Source organism: Homo sapiens, chromosome 16 (assembly GCF_000001405.40).
Source record: "Homo sapiens chromosome 16, GRCh38.p14 Primary Assembly".
Classification (NCBI taxonomy): Eukaryota; Metazoa; Chordata; class Mammalia; order Primates; family Hominidae; genus Homo; species Homo sapiens.
Window position 1 is genome coordinate 75,166,753 of NC_000016.10, and position 17,413 is coordinate 75,184,165.

The 17,413-nt window shown below is 41.9% G+C and overlaps 1 protein-coding gene across 13 annotated transcripts in view; it reads left to right on the forward strand.

Moving 5' to 3' along the window:
* Nucleotides 1–5,482, forward strand: part of ZFP1 (ZFP1 zinc finger protein) — a 53,233-nt gene extending 47,751 nt beyond the window's left edge. For 7 of the 13 annotated variants that reach the window (XM_011522921.3, NM_001318469.2, NM_001318471.2 and 4 more), the window contains 2 exons: nucleotides 18–144; nucleotides 2,501–5,482. In XM_011522921.3, the coding sequence (XP_011521223.1) occupies nucleotides 18–144; nucleotides 2,501–3,582 (1,209 nt within the window). In that variant the 3' untranslated portion in view covers nucleotides 3,583–5,482. Of the gene's footprint in view, nucleotides 1–17; nucleotides 162–2,500 lie in introns of all 13 variants that reach the window. The other 6 variants (XM_024450168.2, NM_001318476.2, NM_001318475.2 and 3 more) reach the window with 2 other exon arrangements.
* The last annotated feature ends 11,931 nt before the right edge of the window (nucleotides 5,483–17,413 follow it).

The window sequence follows — 17,413 nt, forward strand, 5'->3', positions numbered from 1 at the left end:
ACAATATGCCATTTCAGGGATCAGTTTCATTCACGGATGTGACTGTGGACTTTACCCAGGAGGAATGGGAACAACTGGACCCCTCTCAGAGGATCCTATACATGGATGTGATGCTGGAGAATTATAGCAACTTACTTTCAGTGGGTAAGGACGGTTTTCAGGTACAGCTCACCATGTGCCTAGAGGTATTTATGTCCTGTCTCAGTGACCAGAAATGAGCTTCTGAATTACTAAATGTTTTTGGCCTAAGTCCTCAGGTATTAAACCTGAGAGATCTTGCAGCCTTTAAAGCTCTATCATCTCCTTTCCTTTAAGGCTTCTGAAGTCCAGGCAATTAGGAGCTATGTCCCATTAGTAAATGGCTGTCAAGCCATATGCAATTTTCAAGTTGGAGCAACCAGAAGAGTTTTGGGTAGCATAGAGTTGTCAATTCAGAACATTCTAAGGGAGATAGGACGGGAGAGAGGGAGAAGCAGAAGCCAGTGGAATTAGTATCCAGACGATTATGAGCAGCTCAGTACCTTTGAAATACTTTTCAGCAATCTGTTTTTCAAATCCCTAACACTTAAGTATAGCTGAGGACAGATGACCTGTACCTCAATCTCTGAAGCATACCTCCAAATATCCGTCTCTCCCTGCTTACCTTTTTTTTTTTCCTGTTTAATCTTATAGATATTTGCCTCTCACACTTGAACCCTGAAACTTTCCTAACATATCTTAAACTTTGTTGTGTCTTGTACATGTACCATTCTTTTCCAGTCCACCATTAATGGGCACCTAGGTTGATTCCATGTCTTTGCTATTATGCATAGTGCTGTGATGAACCTATGAGTGGGCATGTGTCTTTTTGGTAGAATCTTTTTTTGAGACAGGGTCTCATTCTGTCACCCAGGCTAGAATCCAGTGGTGACATCACGGTGCACTGTAGCGTCCACCTCCTGAGCTCAAGTAGTCTTCCCACCTCAGCCTGGAGTAGCTGGGATCACAGACACACACCACCATGTCCTGCTAATTATTTTTTACTTTTGTAGAGACAAGTTCTCTGTAGAACTCCTGACCCCAGGCCAGGCGCCATGGCTCATGCTTATAATCCTAGCATTTTGGGAGGCTGAGGCGGGCAGATCACCTGAGGTCAGTTCAATACCAGCACCAACAACATGGTGAAAACCCCTCTCTACTAAAAATACAAAATAAGCCGGGCATGGTGGCATGTGCCTGTAATCCCAGCTACTCGGGAGACGGAGGTTGCAGTGAGCTGAGATCACACCATTATACTCCAGCCTGGGCAACAGAGACCGACCCCATCTCAAAAAAACAAAAATAAGACCTCCTGACTTCAAGTGATCCTCCTGCCTTGGCCTCCCAAAGTGCTGGGATTACAGGCATGAGCCAGTGTGCCTGGCCAGATGATTTTTAATGGGATTGCTATGTGAAAGGGTAGTTCTGAATTATTTGAGAAATCTTCAGACTGTTCTCCACAGTGGCTGAACTAATTTAAATTCCCACCAACAGTGTATCTTAGCCTTGCCAGTATCTGTTGTTTGACTTAATGAACCTGGGTAACTTTATCCTTAAGATGCTGAACACATTGAAAGAAGTAGGCTGGGCATGGTGGCTCATGCCTGGAATATTGAGAGTATCCCTTGAGCCCAGGAGGTCAAGGCTGCAGTGAGCTATGATTGTGCCACTGCACTCCAGCCTGGGCAAATGAGGGAGACCCTATCTCTAAATAGGAATGGAAGAAAAGTAGGATATGATAGTGAAAACATGTTCACTCTCCCAGCAACTTCAGTAGAAAAAAAAAAGCAATAAAACCAGCAGCAGTTAGTGATCCTGTGGTAAGGGTTGTGTATCTCTTAGCGAATGAGTTTCTGGATTTTACCATTTGCAAGATTCTCACTTAAGAGATTTGGAGCTCTGCTATCTGGTTGTCACTGCAAACCTATGAGAAGTGCTGTTCTCTGGAAATCATTTTGGTAAAGATGAACAGTAGAAAAAAAGGAGAAAAAGCTTAGAACTATGCAGACTGGTGCTGGTTCTACCATAGTAGTCCGAGTTTAGCAAATAATACTATTAGTCGAGATCTGCTTAGGTGTTTCCCCTTAATTCCCTCATCTGCTTACTTTCTCGGTCTCTGTGCTAACTGCAGTGTCCTTAAGAACACTGTGAATCTCCCTCCCTGGCATTGCCAGCCTTCTCATATTGTGTTCTGTTTTCTGTCTCCTTTCACCCTCTCTGCCCACTTTAAGGTCATTTTGTGATCTGGCAATGCTACTTGTATTGATTTTGGTTTTGTTTTGTTTTTTTAACCACAAGCTATTACCTTTCTCTTTCAAAGTTTGAAAGGAAACATTTGCACTGGGAATTTTTTAATATTGGGAGACTGGGTCCCAAACTAAAGAGTCAGCCCTGTGATAGAACACGTGTGAAGACTTCCCATTCGGTAACATTATAGCGGAGGCATTGACAAGGTTCTTTTCATTGTGCTCTCTATTCCTAGAAGTGTGGAAGGCTGATGACCAGATGGAGAGAGACCACAGAAACCCAGACGAGCAGGCGAGGCAATTTTTAATTCTTAAGAACCAAACCCCAATTGAGGAAAGAGGCGATCTCTTTGGAAAAGCACTTAATCTGAACACAGACTTTGTTTCTTTAAGACAAGTACCTTATAAATATGACTTATATGAAAAAACTTTGAAATATAATTCAGACTTGCTTAATAGTAATAGAAGCTATGCAGGAAAGCAGACTGATGAGTGTAATGAATTTGGAAAAGCACTTCTCTACCTGAAGCAAGAGAAAACCCACAGTGGAGTAGAATATTCTGAATACAATAAAAGTGGAAAAGCCCTCAGCCATAAAGCAGCCATTTTTAAACATCAGAAAATAAAAAACTTGGTTCAACCTTTCATTTGTACTTACTGTGACAAGGCTTTCTCCTTTAAGTCACTCCTCATTAGTCATAAGAGAATACATACTGGAGAAAAGCCATATGAATGCAATGTATGTAAGAAAACCTTCTCCCATAAGGCCAACCTCATCAAACATCAGAGAATTCACACTGGGGAGAAACCTTTCGAGTGTCCGGAATGTGGAAAAGCTTTCACCCACCAGTCAAACCTCATTGTACACCAGAGAGCACATATGGAGAAGAAGCCCTATGAGTGCAGTGAATGTGGAAAGACATTTGCCCAAAAGTTTGAACTCACCACACACCAGAGAATTCATACAGGAGAGCGACCCTATGAGTGTAACGAATGTGCAAAAACCTTCTTTAAGAAGTCAAACCTTATCATACATCAGAAGATTCACACGGGGGAGAAACGCTATGAGTGCAGTGAATGTGGAAAATCCTTTATCCAGAACTCACAGCTCATCATACACATGAGAACTCATACAGGAGAGAAACCCTATGAATGTACTGAGTGCGGCAAAACTTTCAGCCAGAGGTCAACTCTTAGATTACACTTGCGAATCCACACAGGAGAGAAACCATATGAGTGTTCCGAATGTGGGAAGGCCTTTAGCAGGAAGTCCCGACTCAGTGTCCATCAGAGAGTTCACATCGGGGAGAAACCCTGAAACTCCAGCCAGGTCTTACTGTGGAAAACTCCTGCCAGAACTCTTCAAGCGGGTGAAAAACCTCATGACAGTATTGAGGGAACATGGGAATTCATACTGAGATGCAATCTCTCAACTCAAAAATGTATTAAAAATAGGATCCCATGAGAACATTATACTGGAAGTTACATGTGATACCCAGCTAAAGAATACATATCAGAATATATCCAGTTGTAAATAGCCATACCCAGTTGTACTACAATGAGCTTTTTAAAATCTTGAATGAATTGAGTATTCTAGACAGCAGCATAAGAAATATACAAACAGTATCCTATGAATTTAGTGGTTTTATGTGGATATGCCACAAAACACAAGTGGTATGCTTTAGATCTGCACATGTGAATTTAGCATAATCACTGGGAATTTGAAATTCTTGTCCTCTGTGATAATTAGGACATAACAAGATTTTCCATACTAAACATCACATGTGTTTTTCAGTATCTCTGCAATCCAGTATGCATTCCAAATGAAATGTGTAACATTTAAAGTAGCATGGAACCTACGTCTTTCCCTACTGCTTGCTGGCATATATCAGTTGGTATGAACATTGTTCTTGAGCTGCCTCTTAGGAAACAGAAGACAGTGTTGAAGTTTTCCCTGCTTCTGGTTTGCTGAAGATTTTCTAGAAGCACTATTTACACAAATATGCAAATGTGAAATAACCGATCTATAACGTGAAGGAGGCAGACATGAGCTGTACTACTCAGTATGCACCACAGAATAAGAGTTTGCCGTGTAAAGACAATATCCCCATTCGTCATGCTCTTATTTTCCCGTGGGATATTTGCATACAAATGCATGTCTGTTACCAAAATATTGTGTAACACAGACAGAAACCACCTGTTTTTGTCTTTCCTTGTTTCCCTTAATATTTCATGAATTGTCTAGCAAAAATGGTAGGATGCTTCTGTAGTTCACAAATGTTACATTTCAGAGACTTTAGAGGAAAAATTATTTTAAATAACTGTCAACTGTTTCATTGCTTTTTAAATTTTTCACGTGCATAACCCCCTTTAGAAGTAAATTTTTACACTATTTTGTTGTTTAAAGGAGGCATTTCTACTTCCTTGAGTTTTGCTGTTGCCAACCTAAAACATTTCCCTTTGGAACATGAGTTATAAGTTATTACTTTTCCTTTACATGTTTACACTTTTATAAAAATCAGATTTTTCAGTGGTCTCTCCAGATATTAACAAGAATTGTTGTGTAACTCAAAGATTTGCTTTTATAGACTTGATTTCAAATTCTTAAGTTCAGCCTTTCCCTATCAATCACAAATCATGTATTGGAAATTATAAATGGCAACCAAAAACTGGCTTTTAAAAAATATTTTTGGATATCATTGATGTGCTGTCACACTATATATTGAGTGACTTTCTGAACAAATTTATCCAGAACATCCATAGCCCAATAAGCTTTTGTCTAAGTTGTCATCTTACTTACTCACAAAGGAGGGGAAAACGTTATTTTCATAGCTGCTTTTAGAAATGTAAATTGTAACAGCCTCCTTGGACAACATTGTGAGTCTGTTTTAACATTAATATACTCTTACAACCTAGGAATCTCCTGGGAATCTATCCCTAAGGAATAAAAAGCGCCAGCACTTAAGATTATATGTTTACTAATGTATATTGTATTTTTTGGTAAGGACCAAAAAAACAAACAAAAAAAAGACCATCAGTAAGGGAATGGATGAATAAATTGTGGTAAAAACATACCATGGCTGAATGGTATTTCCTTGAAAAGAATGTGTGGGAACAAACTCCAAACTTCTCTAGGTCAAATGAGGAAAGCAAGAGGGGAGAGAGAGAGTGTATGTGTGTGTGTAGCAGTTTTTATAAAATAAAGATAAACCCTTATATATGTGTGTCTTTGTATATGATTTTATGGGCCTGGTGAATAGAATTCCTTCCATTTTTAACCTGTGGACCTCACCAGCTTTATCAGTGAGGGCTTTAGCAGTAAACTGAATTAGCGCCTTATGAAAGGATGACTTGGAGAATGAGAGAAGGATTAAGGGAACAAACAACGGATGGTAAGGAATCCAGAGACCAGCAGTGCCAAGAAGCTGTTGTCTCCCTAGGGACCAAAGGAAGAAATGGTGTTTCAGAGCCCAGTGAGAGCCAAAATGTTGGAAGGTCTCTTTCCTGTAGGAGATAGAAAAATAAAAAGGAAGAGTGTCTCTTAAGTGGATGTTGAAGCTCTACAAAGATGCAGCTACTGTGAGAAACACAGAACTGTCAGGAAAGGGAGCAGAGGGGGAAAAGCCTCAGCTCTTTATTGCTGTCTCCTGAAGATGCCTCCATCAACTGAACCTAATCAGAAGCCCGGGTGATGCCGTCCTCCTGGGATAAAGCAGGGTAGAAAGATGGAGGATGGACCAGGAGGGGAAACAGCACAATCAGCAAATCTCCCATCTCAGTTTCAGCCTTGCTGGTCCGACTGTAATGAGGCTTTCCCAGAAGGACCCTTCTTCCCCTATGGTCATTCCAAGTGGCAACTGTTTGTCTCATGCCTCTTATGCGTTTAGAGGTAAGATGACTGACTCTGAAGCCCAATTTCAGAGGAAATAAAAATTTGGGAGTTGTCACAGGGATAATATTTTAAGCCATAAAGCTAGGTGAGATTACCTAGGAAAAAAAAGTATAAAGAATGTCAAGGACTGAGCCCCGAGCACTCACCCCAGTGTTTGCTGGGCAGGAACTGGCAAATGAAACTGAGAAGGAACCACCAGGGTTAGGGTGAAAACCAGTAGAGGGTGGTATCTGAAGCCAGCTGAAAACACTTATTTTGAAGTAGAAGAGTGGCCACTATATCAAATACTAATAATTTGTATGAAGTTGGATATATGCTGAGATTAACCATCAGTGAGGTCATTTTGAAAAAAACAGTTATAAAGGAGTGGTCAGGGTAAATCTAGGAGGATTCAAGATAAACTTGGAAACAGGAGCTGTGAATAAGGGGCCAAGTGTTAAGGACTGAAAAGTCTGAGATTTTGTCCTACTTGCAAGGTAACAAGTTAAGCTACCAGTTTCATGGATACTGGCAGAAGACATACTGTACTGACCTCGAATACACATTTGCTGGGTGGAGTTACAGGAGGGGAGGTCCAAGTTTAGGGAGCCTGAATCTTAAACAGTGGTCTAGAAGTAAATCTATCAAACCTTTGTCTAGAAGGAAGACATATTATACTGGATGCTAAACAAACTGTTGCTCTGGAGAACGGATTACCTATCTAAGGCTATTCATCCTGAAAACAGCCTGTAACAAAAGCCATCACCATATGTACTTGTAAGATAGTGAGAAACGTGAGAAACCCATGGAGAATTGTCTCCCAACACAGAGAAACGGATGGGTAACTGAAGAGATGGGGGCTTTTGAGGATTTTGGTGTTTTAAAATATTAGAAATTCTAGGATAAATTTATATACTCATGGGAACGATAAGTAGAAAAATTGACGCTGTACGAGAAGAGGAGGAGGAGAATGGACTAGAGCAGAGCCTGAGCAGGTGAAGACACTGGGATCCAGGGTACTAGTGAAGAGGTCAGACGCTGGAGCACCAACCAGGAGGAAGGCAGAGCGTGGGCAGAGAAGATGCTAGAGCTTGTGAGTGTTCTTGTCTGATTGCTTTTATTTCCACTGTTAAACTGAAAACATAGTTATTAGCTGAGAGTGAGGATGGTAGAGGTGGTGTGAGACGTTTGGGGGATAGGGAAGAGTGAAAAAATTAAGGAAATGTACGATACACTAAAGGCCCACTTGAGGTTAGTGGTCATGAGTTTAACATAACATCAATTGTCAGGGTTGTATGTTTTGTTCCAGCCACATTCAGCAGAGTTGGATTTAGCCTGGATTGACTGGTGTGAAATACATGAACCATGGGACTTAAGCTGATTAGGTGAAGAGTCACAACTTCAGAGAGGGAAATCAGCGGGAGTGGTTTCAGCAAGATGGCAGAATAGAACTTTCTAGCACTTGACTCCCTGCAGAAACATCAGTTTGAATAGCTTTCCATGCACAAAATTACCTTCACAAGAGCTAAAGAAACCAAGTAAGAGATCACAGCACCTGGGTATAGTGTAGAAATAAAGGATGCGGCCGGGCGCAGTGGCTCACGCCTATAATCCCAGCACTTTGGCAGGCCAAGGTGGGTGGGTCACCTGAGGTCAGGAATTTGAGACCAGCCTGGCCAACATGGCAAAACCCCGTCTCTACTAAAAATACAAAAATTAGCCGGGCATGGTGGTGCGTGCCTGTAATCCCGCCTACTAGGGGGGCTGAGGTAGGAGGATCGCTTGAACCTGGGAGGCTGAGGTTGCAGTGAGCTTAGATTGTGCCACTGCACTTCAGCCTGGGCAACAGAGCGAGACTCCATCTCAAAAAAAAAAAAAAAAAAAGGATGCATTGAAGAGGGCACGAAGGACAGTGTTACATTATTTTTATTACCTCTTCCCCAACCCCAGGCACCATAGTGTCAACAGAGACACCCTCCATACAGGGGAAAGAGAAGAAAGTGAACACTGGACTTTGCCTCCATCCCAAACACCTTCTCACCTGGGTAAAACTCAGAGCTAGGCAGGCCCCACTGCCCTAGACCCCAGGCCACTACCCACAGAGAACTTCCAGGCCGACCCCACCATGAGGTTGAATCCCATAGCCCCAGGCCAGCACAGCAGACTTGGTCTGCTCACCTCACCTCCAGACCAACCTCAGTGGTCCAGGCTCACCAAGCTTCAGGTCTGGTCCCACAGTCGGGTTCCAGGCCTGCAGATGCAAGGCTTCAGGTCTGTCCTGGGTTCTAGACCAGCCCCGAGCCAGGTCAGCACCCCTGGCCTGAGGCTCCAGGCTGGCCCTTGCCTCACCTCAGTCTACAGGCACTGACATGGTGCCAAGGCCTGCCCAGGTCTACCCTAGCACACTGTACACAGCCCGGGGCCTACCCCAGCACCATGTAAGCCCCCATGGAACAAGGGTTCAGGCCAACCCAAGAGGATACAGTTTCCAGGCTTACCTTCAAGGACCCAAGTTCCAGGGTTACCCCTATGCACCCAATCAACAGGTCCACTCCAGTAGATCCAAGCTTCAGGCCCAGTTCTGTAGACTCAAGCACCAGGTCTGCCCATCTGCTGATGCAGGTACCAGGCCATCCTGGCTGAGGACTCCAGCAGCAAACTCACTTGCAGATCACACCAGATGGCCTCCCCAGAATCTCTGGACAGGTTGACTGGTGAAGAGCTTTCCCAGACAATGGCAGTCTGCAGACTGGAATACTTATTCACTATTTCTTCAAATGCCCAGATACTAACACACTAGAAGGATCAAGAACAATCAGGGAAATATGACCCTCCGAAAAAGGAACAACAAAAAAAGCACCAGTAATGGACCCTAAAGAAATTTAGAAGATTTGGATAATGTATGAGCTGCCTGACATTTCAAAATAATTATTTTAAGGAAGCTCAGCATATTAAATTTTCTTAAGAAAATAGAGAATTTGATTAAATCAAGAAAATGACCGCCGGGCGCAGTGGCTCACACCTGTAATCCCAGCACTTTGGGAGGCCGAGGCGGGTGGATCACAAGGTCAGGAGATGGAGACCATCCTGGCTAACACAGTGAAACCCTGTCCCTACTAAAAATACAAATAATTAGCCAGGCATGGTGTGGGCGCCTGTAGTCCCAGCTACTCGGGAGGCTGAGGCAGGAGAATGGTGTGAACCCTAGAGGCGGAGCTTGCAGTGAGCCAAGATCGTGCCACTGCATTCCAGCCTGGGCAACAGAGCAAGACTCTTGTCTCAAAAAAAAAAAAAAAAAAAAAGAAAATGACCAACATTAGAAACTTAAATTATAAAAATAAAAAATTCTGAAGAATATAATTAATGACATGAAAAATGCAATAGAGAGCAGCAACAACAGAAGTGATCAAGCAGAAGAAAGAATGTGAGCTCAAAGACATTTTATTTCAAAATATCCAGTCAGAGGAGAAAAAAGAATGAATGAAAAGACTGTGGCATTTATGGAATGCCATCAAAAGAACAAATGTTTGACACTCAGAAGTTCAAGAAGGAAAGAGAGACAAAAGGGCAGAAAGGTTAAATAATAGGGCCAGGGTGGGGGTGGTTCATGCTTGTAATCCCAACACTTTGGGAGGCCAAGGCAGGATCATTTGATCCTAAGAGTTCAAGACCAGTCTGAGAAATATAGTGAAACCCCCATCTGTAGAAAACTACAAAAAATTAGCCTGATGTGGTGTTATGAGCCTGTAGTCTCAGCTACTTGGGAGCCTGAAGTGGGAGAATCCCTTGAACCAGGAGGTTGAGGATGCAGTGAGCCATGATCATGCCACTGTATGCCAGCCTGGGTGACAGAGTGAGACCCTGTCTCAAAAACACAACGCAGGAGGGAGGAAGTGGGGAGGGAAGGGAAAAGAGGAATAGGAAGGGGAATAGGGGGTGGAAGCAGGGGAGGAAGGCAGGGAGAAAGGAAGATATAAACTGTACAAATCTGGGAAAATATGTGAATATCCAGGTATAGGAAGGTGAAAGGATTGAATCTGACTGGAGACCTAACAAGACTACAGGAGTACATGTTAAACTGTCAAAGAGAAGATCCTGAAAACAGCAAGAGAAATAAAGCAAATGACTTATGGGAGCTTCAATAAGGCTAGCAGTGGATTTCCAAACAAATCTTACAGGCTATGAAGAGAGTGGGATGACATATTCAAACTGCTGAAGGAAAAAAAAATGCTGACCAAGAATACTGTATCCAGCAAATCTGTCCTGAAATAAAGGAGCAATAAGAACTTTGCTAGACAAACCAAAGCTGAGGAAGTTCATTACCACCAGACCTATCTTTCAAGAAATACTAAAGGGAACTGGGCACGGTGGCTCATGCCTGTTATCCCAGCACTTGTGGGAGGCCAAGGCGGGCAGATAACTTGAGGTCAGGAGTTCAAGACCAGCTTGGCAACATGGTGAAACGCTGTCTCTACTAAAAATACAAAAATTAGCTGTGCATGGTGGTGCATGCCTGTAATCCCAGTTACTTGGGAGGCTGAGACAGGAGAATTGCTTGAACCCAGGAGGTGGAGGTTGCAGTGAGCCAAGATTGTGCTACTGCACTTCAGCCTGGGTGACAGAAAGAAACTTTGTCTCAAAAAAACTAATCAACAAATAATAGCTATAAAATGTTGAGGGATACACACTATAAAAAGATGTAAATTGTGACATTAAAAACATAAAATGTGGAAAGGGGTAGAGAACATGTAGTTTGGTTTACAATCAAAGTTGTTATCTACTTAAAATATCCTATGATAACTATATTTTCTGTAAGCCTTATGCTAACCACAAAGCAAAAAATCTATAGTAGATACACAAAAGATTTTAAAAAAGAAATCAAAGCATACCACCAAAGAAAATCACGTCATTACAAGTAAGAAAGCAAAAGGGAAAGAAAGGAACAAAGGATCTAGGAAAGAAGCAATTAACAAAATGGCAATAGTGGGCCCTTGGCTATCAGTAATTACCTTAAATACAAATGGATTAAATTCCTTGGTTAAAAGAGTGGCTGAGTAAAATTTTTGAAGACCCATTTATATGCTGCCTATAAGAAACTCACTTCACCTTTAAGGTCATATATATACTGAAAGTGAAAGGATGGAAAAAGTATTCCATGGAAATGGAAACCGAAAGAGTAGGGATAGCTATACTTAAATCAGATAAACTAGATTTTAAGTCAAAAATTGTGACACAAAGGTCATTATATGACAAACGTGTCAATTTATCAAGAAGATATACCTCTAAATTTATATACATTCAACATCTGAGCACCTAAATATATAAAGCAAATATTAATAGACCTGAAGGGAGAGAGAGAGACTGTAACATAATATCAGTAGAAGACTTCAATACCCTACTTTCAGCAACAGACAGATCATCCAGACAGAATCAGTAAGGAGATGTAAACTACAGCTTAGACCAAATGGACCTAAGAGACATACACAGAATTTCCATCCAATAGCAGCAGCATACACATTCTTCTCAAGCACACAAGGAACTTCTCTAGGATAGGATGTATATTAGGCCACAAAACAAATCTTAAATTTAAGATTATATCAAGTATTTTTTTCCTACCACAGTGGTATAAAAATAGAAATCAGTAATAGGAAGAATTTTGAAAAATGCACGAATATGTGGAAATTAAACAACATGCTCCTAATCAGTGGGTCAGATAAGAAATTTAAAAACATCTTGAGACAGGCTGGGCGCGGTGGCTCACGCTTGTTATCCCAGCACTTTGGGAGGCTGAGGCGGGTGGATCACGAGGTCAGGAGATAGAGACCATCCTGGCTAACACGGTGAAACTTCATCTCTACTAAAAAATAAAAAAGTACAAAAAATTGCCCGGCGTGCCTGACACATGCCTGTAATCCCAGCTAGTTGGGAGGCTGAGACAGGAGAATTGCTTGAACATGGGAGGCAGAGGTTGTAGTGAGCCAACATCGCGCCACTGCACTCCAGCCTGGGTGACAGAGTGAGACTTGGTCTCCAAAAAAAAAAAAAAAAAAAAAAAAAAAAGTCTTGAGACTAATGAAAACAGAAACACAACATACCAAAATTTATGGGATTCATGCAGTGAGCTGAGATCGCACCACTGCACTCCGGCCTGGGTAACAGAGGGAGACTGCATCTCAAAAAAAAAAAAAAAAAAATTTATAGGATTCACTAAAAGCAGTTCTAAGAGATGTTTATAGCAATAAATGCCTATATCAAAAGAGAACAAATAATGCTATACCTCAAAGAACTAGAAAAAGCAGCCCAAAGTTAGAAGAAAATATCAGAACAGAAATAAATTATTCATGGATTTATTCATTCATTTCTTAGAAAAAGACAACAGGAAAAAAACCTTAAGAATTTTTTAAGATAAAATTGGAAAACTTTTAGGTAGAGTAAGAAAAAAGACAACTCAAAATCAGAAATGAAAGCTGAAGTGTTACAACTGATACCACAGAAATACGAAGGATTAGAATACCATGAACAATTATACATCAACAAATTAGAGAACCTAGAAGAAACGGATAAATTCCTAAACACATACAAACTACCAACACTGAATCATGAAGAAACAGAAAAACCAATAGGCTGGGCGTGGTGACTCACGCCTGCAATCCCAGCACTTTGGGAGGCCGAGGCGGGTGGATTACTTGAGGTCAGGAGTTTGAGACCAGCCTGGGCAAGATGGTGAAACCCCATCACTACTAAAAATACAAAAATTAGCCAGGCGTGGTGGCGGGCAACTGTAATCCCCCCTACTTTGGAGGCTGAGGCAGGAGAATTGCTTGAACCCAGGAGGCAGAGGTTGCAGTGAACCGAGATCGCACACTGCACTCCAGTCTGGGCAATAGAGTGAGACTCGGGTAGGGGGGGTGGGTGGGGAAAAGGCCAGGCACAGTGGCTCATGCCTGTAATCCCAGCACTTTGGGAGGCTGAGGTAGGCGGATTACCTGAGGTCAGGAGTTCAAGACCAGCCTGGCCAACATGACGAAACCCTGTCTCTACCAAAAATACAAAAATTAGCCGGGCATGGTGGCGGGCATCTGTAATCCCAGCTACTTGGGAGACTGAGGCAGGGAGAATCATTTGAACCCGGGAGGCAGAGGTTGCAGTGAGCCAAGATTGTGCCATTGCACTCTAGCCTGGGTGACAGAATGAGACTCCATTTCAAAAACAACATCAACAACAAACTCAGTAAGAGGCTGAATTACAAATCCATCAAAGAAAAGCGCAGGACTTAATGGTGTCAGTACTGAGTTCTACTTAACATTTAAAGAACTAATACCAATTCTTTTCAAACTCATCCAAAAAAATTGAACAAGGGGGAACACCTTCAAACTTATTTTATGAAGCCAGCATTACCCTGATACCAAAGCCAGACAAGGGCACTGGAAGAAAAAAAAAAATTACAGGCCAGTATCCCTGATGAACATAGATGCAAAAACCCTCAACAAAATACCAGCAAACCAAATTCAACAGCACATTGAAAGACAATTCACTATGATCAAGTGGGATCTATCCCAGGGATGTAAGGATGTTTCAACATACACAAGTCTATAAATGTGATCTACCACATTAACAGTATGAAGGACAAAATCTATTCTGATCACCTTAATAGATGCAGAAAAAGCATTTGACAAAACTCAACATCTTTTCATAATAAAAACTCTCAAAATAGATATAGAAAGAATGTACCTCAGCACAAGGCAGGCCATATATGACAAGCCCACAGCTAACATACTTAATAGTGAACAGTTGGAAGCTTTTTATCTGGCTGGGCACAGTGGCTAACACCTGTAATCCCAGTCCCTTGGGAGTCCAAGGCAGGCGGATCACTTGAGGTTAGGAGTTCAATACCAGCCTGGCCAACATGGCGGAACCCTGTCTCTACTAAAAATACAAAAATTAGCCAGGTGTGGTGGTGCAGCCCTGTAATTCCAGCTACTTGGGAGACTGAGGCAGGAGAATTGCTTGAACCTGGGAGGCAGAGGTTGCAGTGAGCCAAGATGGAGCCACTGCACTCCAGCCTGGGCAACAGAGTGAGTCTGTGTCAAAAAAAAAAAAAAAAAAAAAAAAAAAAGAGAAAGCTTTTCATCTACTATCAGGAACAAGACAAGAATGTCCACTCTCACTACTTCTATTCAACACAGTATTGGAAGTCCTAGCCAGAACAGTTAGGCAAGAGAAAAAAATGAGGCTTCCAGACGGGAAAGAAAGAAGGTAAATTGTCCATGTTTGCAGATGCTATGATCTCATATAGAAAACCTTAAAGAGTCCACCAGAAAACTTTCAGGACTAATGAATGAATGAAGTTGCAGGATACAAAAATCAACGTACAAAAATCAGTAGTGTTTTATATAAACAATGACCTATCTATACAAGAAGTCAGTAAGACAATCCCATTTACAATGGCTACACAAAGTTAAATACTTAGGAATAAATTTAACCAAGGAGATGAAAGACTGGTACACCAAAAACTGTAAGACGCAGATAAAAGAAACTGAAGATACAATTAAATGGAAAACTATCCTGTGTTCCTGGATTGGAGGAATATTGTTAAAATGTTCACACTGTCCAAAGCAATCTACAGGTTCAATGCAATGCCTATCAAAATTCCAATTATATTTTCCACAGAGATAGAAAAAACAATCCTAAAACTTGTATGTAACCACAAAAGACCCCAAATACCCAAAGCAGTCTTGAACAAAAAGAACAAAGCTTGAGGCTTCATACTAACTGTATCAGTGCATTCTCACACTGCTATAAAGAACTACCTGACACTGGGCAATTTATGAAAAAAAGTTTAATTGACTCACAGTTCCACAAGCTTAACAAGAAGCATGACTGGGAGGCCTCAGGAAACTTATACTCATGGTGGAAGGCAAAGGGGAAGCAAGCAGCTTCTTCACATGGTAACCGGAGAGCATGCTAGCAAAGGGGGAAGTGCCACACACTTGTAAACCGTTAGATCTCATGAGAACTCACTATCAGGAAAGCAGCAAGGGAGAAATCCACCCCCATGATCCAATCACCTCCCACCAGGCCCCTCCTCCAATTCGACATGACATTTGGGTGGGGACACAAATCCAAACCATATCACTAGTTGAATTCAAAATACACTACAAAGGTATAGTAACCAAACAGCATATTAGCATCAAAACAGACACATAGACCCACGGAATAGAACAGAGCTCCCAGAAATAAATCCACGCATTTACAGTCAACTGATTCTTGACAAAAGGTGCCAAGAACACATAATGGGCAAAGGACAATCTCTTCAGTAAATGCTGGACGTTCACATATAAAATAACGAAATACAGAAAAATAAACTAAAGACTTAAATGTAAGACCTGAAACTGTAAAACGACTAGAAGAAAGCAGGGATCCATGACATCGATCTGGTCAATTTTTTTTTTTTAATCTGACTTCAAAAGCACAGGCAACAAAAGCAACAACAGACAAATGAGATTACATCCAACTAAAAAGCTCCTGCACAGAAAAGGAAACAATCAAAAGAGTGAAAAGACAACCTTTAGAATGGGGAGAATTATTTGCAAATCATAGTCTGATAAGGGATATCTAAAATATAAGGAACTCAGACAACTCAATAGCAAGAAAACAAATAACCCAATTAAAGAGCAAAGGACCTAAATAGACACTTCTCAAAAAGAAGACTTACATATGCCTGACAGGTATATGAAAAAATGCTCAGTGTCATTAATTATCAGGGAAACGCAGATTAAAACTACAATGAGGTATCACCTCACACCTTGTTAGAATGGCTATTAGCAAAACAGTGAATAAATATGGACCAAGTGCGGTGGCTCATGCCTATAATCCCAGTACTTTGGGAGGCCGAGGCGGGTGGATCACCTGAGGTCAGGAATTCGAGACCAGCCTGGCTAACATCGTGAAACCCCGTTTCCACTAAAAATAGAAAACATTAGCCGGGCGTGGTGCCCTGCACCTCCTGTAATCCCAGCTCTTGGGAGGCTGAGGCAGGAGAATTGCTTGAACCCGGGAGGCAGAGGTTACAATGAGCCAAGATCACAGGATCGCACTCCAGCTTGGACAACAAGAGCGAAACTCCGTCTCCAAAAAAAAAAGTGTGTGTGAGGATGTGGAGAAAAAGGAAGTCTCACAAAGTTGATGAGAATGTAAATTAGTACAGCCATTATGGAAAATACTATGGAAGCTCCTCAATAACTTAAATAGAACTACCATGTGACCCAGCAATTCCACTACTGGGTATATATCCAAAGGAAACGAAATTAGTCTGTCAAAGAGATATCTGCACTTTCATGTTCATTGCAGCATTATTCACAACAGCCAAGATATGAAATCAACCTAACTATCAATGGATGAATGGATAAAGAAGATGTGTTCTACATACACAATGGAATACTACTGAGCTTTAAAGAAGGAAGCTCTGGCCAGGTGCAGTGGCTCATGCCAGTAACCACAGCACTTTGGGAGGCTGAGTCGGGTAGATTGCTGGAGTCCAGGAGTTCAAGACCAGCCTGGCCAACATGACAAAACCCTTTCTCTAAAAATACAAAACAAAAATTAGCCAGGCATGGTGGCACATGCCTGTAGTCCTAGCTACTTGGGAGGCTGAGGCAGCAAGATCATTAGAGCTTTGGATACAAAGGTTGCAGCAAGCCAATATTGCACCATTATACTCCAGCCTGAGTGACAGAGCAAGACCCTGTCTCAAAAAATAAAGGAACTTATTTGCCACAACATGGGTGAACCTAGAGGACTTTATGCTAAGTGAAATAAGCCTGGCATGGAAAGACAAATACCACATGACCTCACTTATATGTGGAATCTAAAAAAGTTGAACTCATAGAAGCAGAGAACAGAATAGTGATTACCAGGGGCTAGGGGTGTGGGAGGGGATAAGAGAAATGTTGGTGAAAAGATACACAATTTCAGTTTAATAGGAGGAATAAATTTAATCTATTGGCCAGGCGCCGTGGCTCAAGCCTGTAATCCCAGCACTTTGGGAGGCCGAGGCGGGCGGATCACGAGGTCAGGAGATTGTGACCATCCTGGCTAACACGGTGAAACCCCGTCTCTACTAAAAATGCAAAAACAAAAATTAGCCGGGCGTGGTGGTGGGCGCCTGTAGTCCCAGCTACTCAGGAGGCTGAGGCAGGAGAATGGCGTGAATCCAGGAGGCAGAGCTTGCACTGAGCCATGATCGTGCCGCTGCACTCCAGCCTGGGCGAGAGAGCAA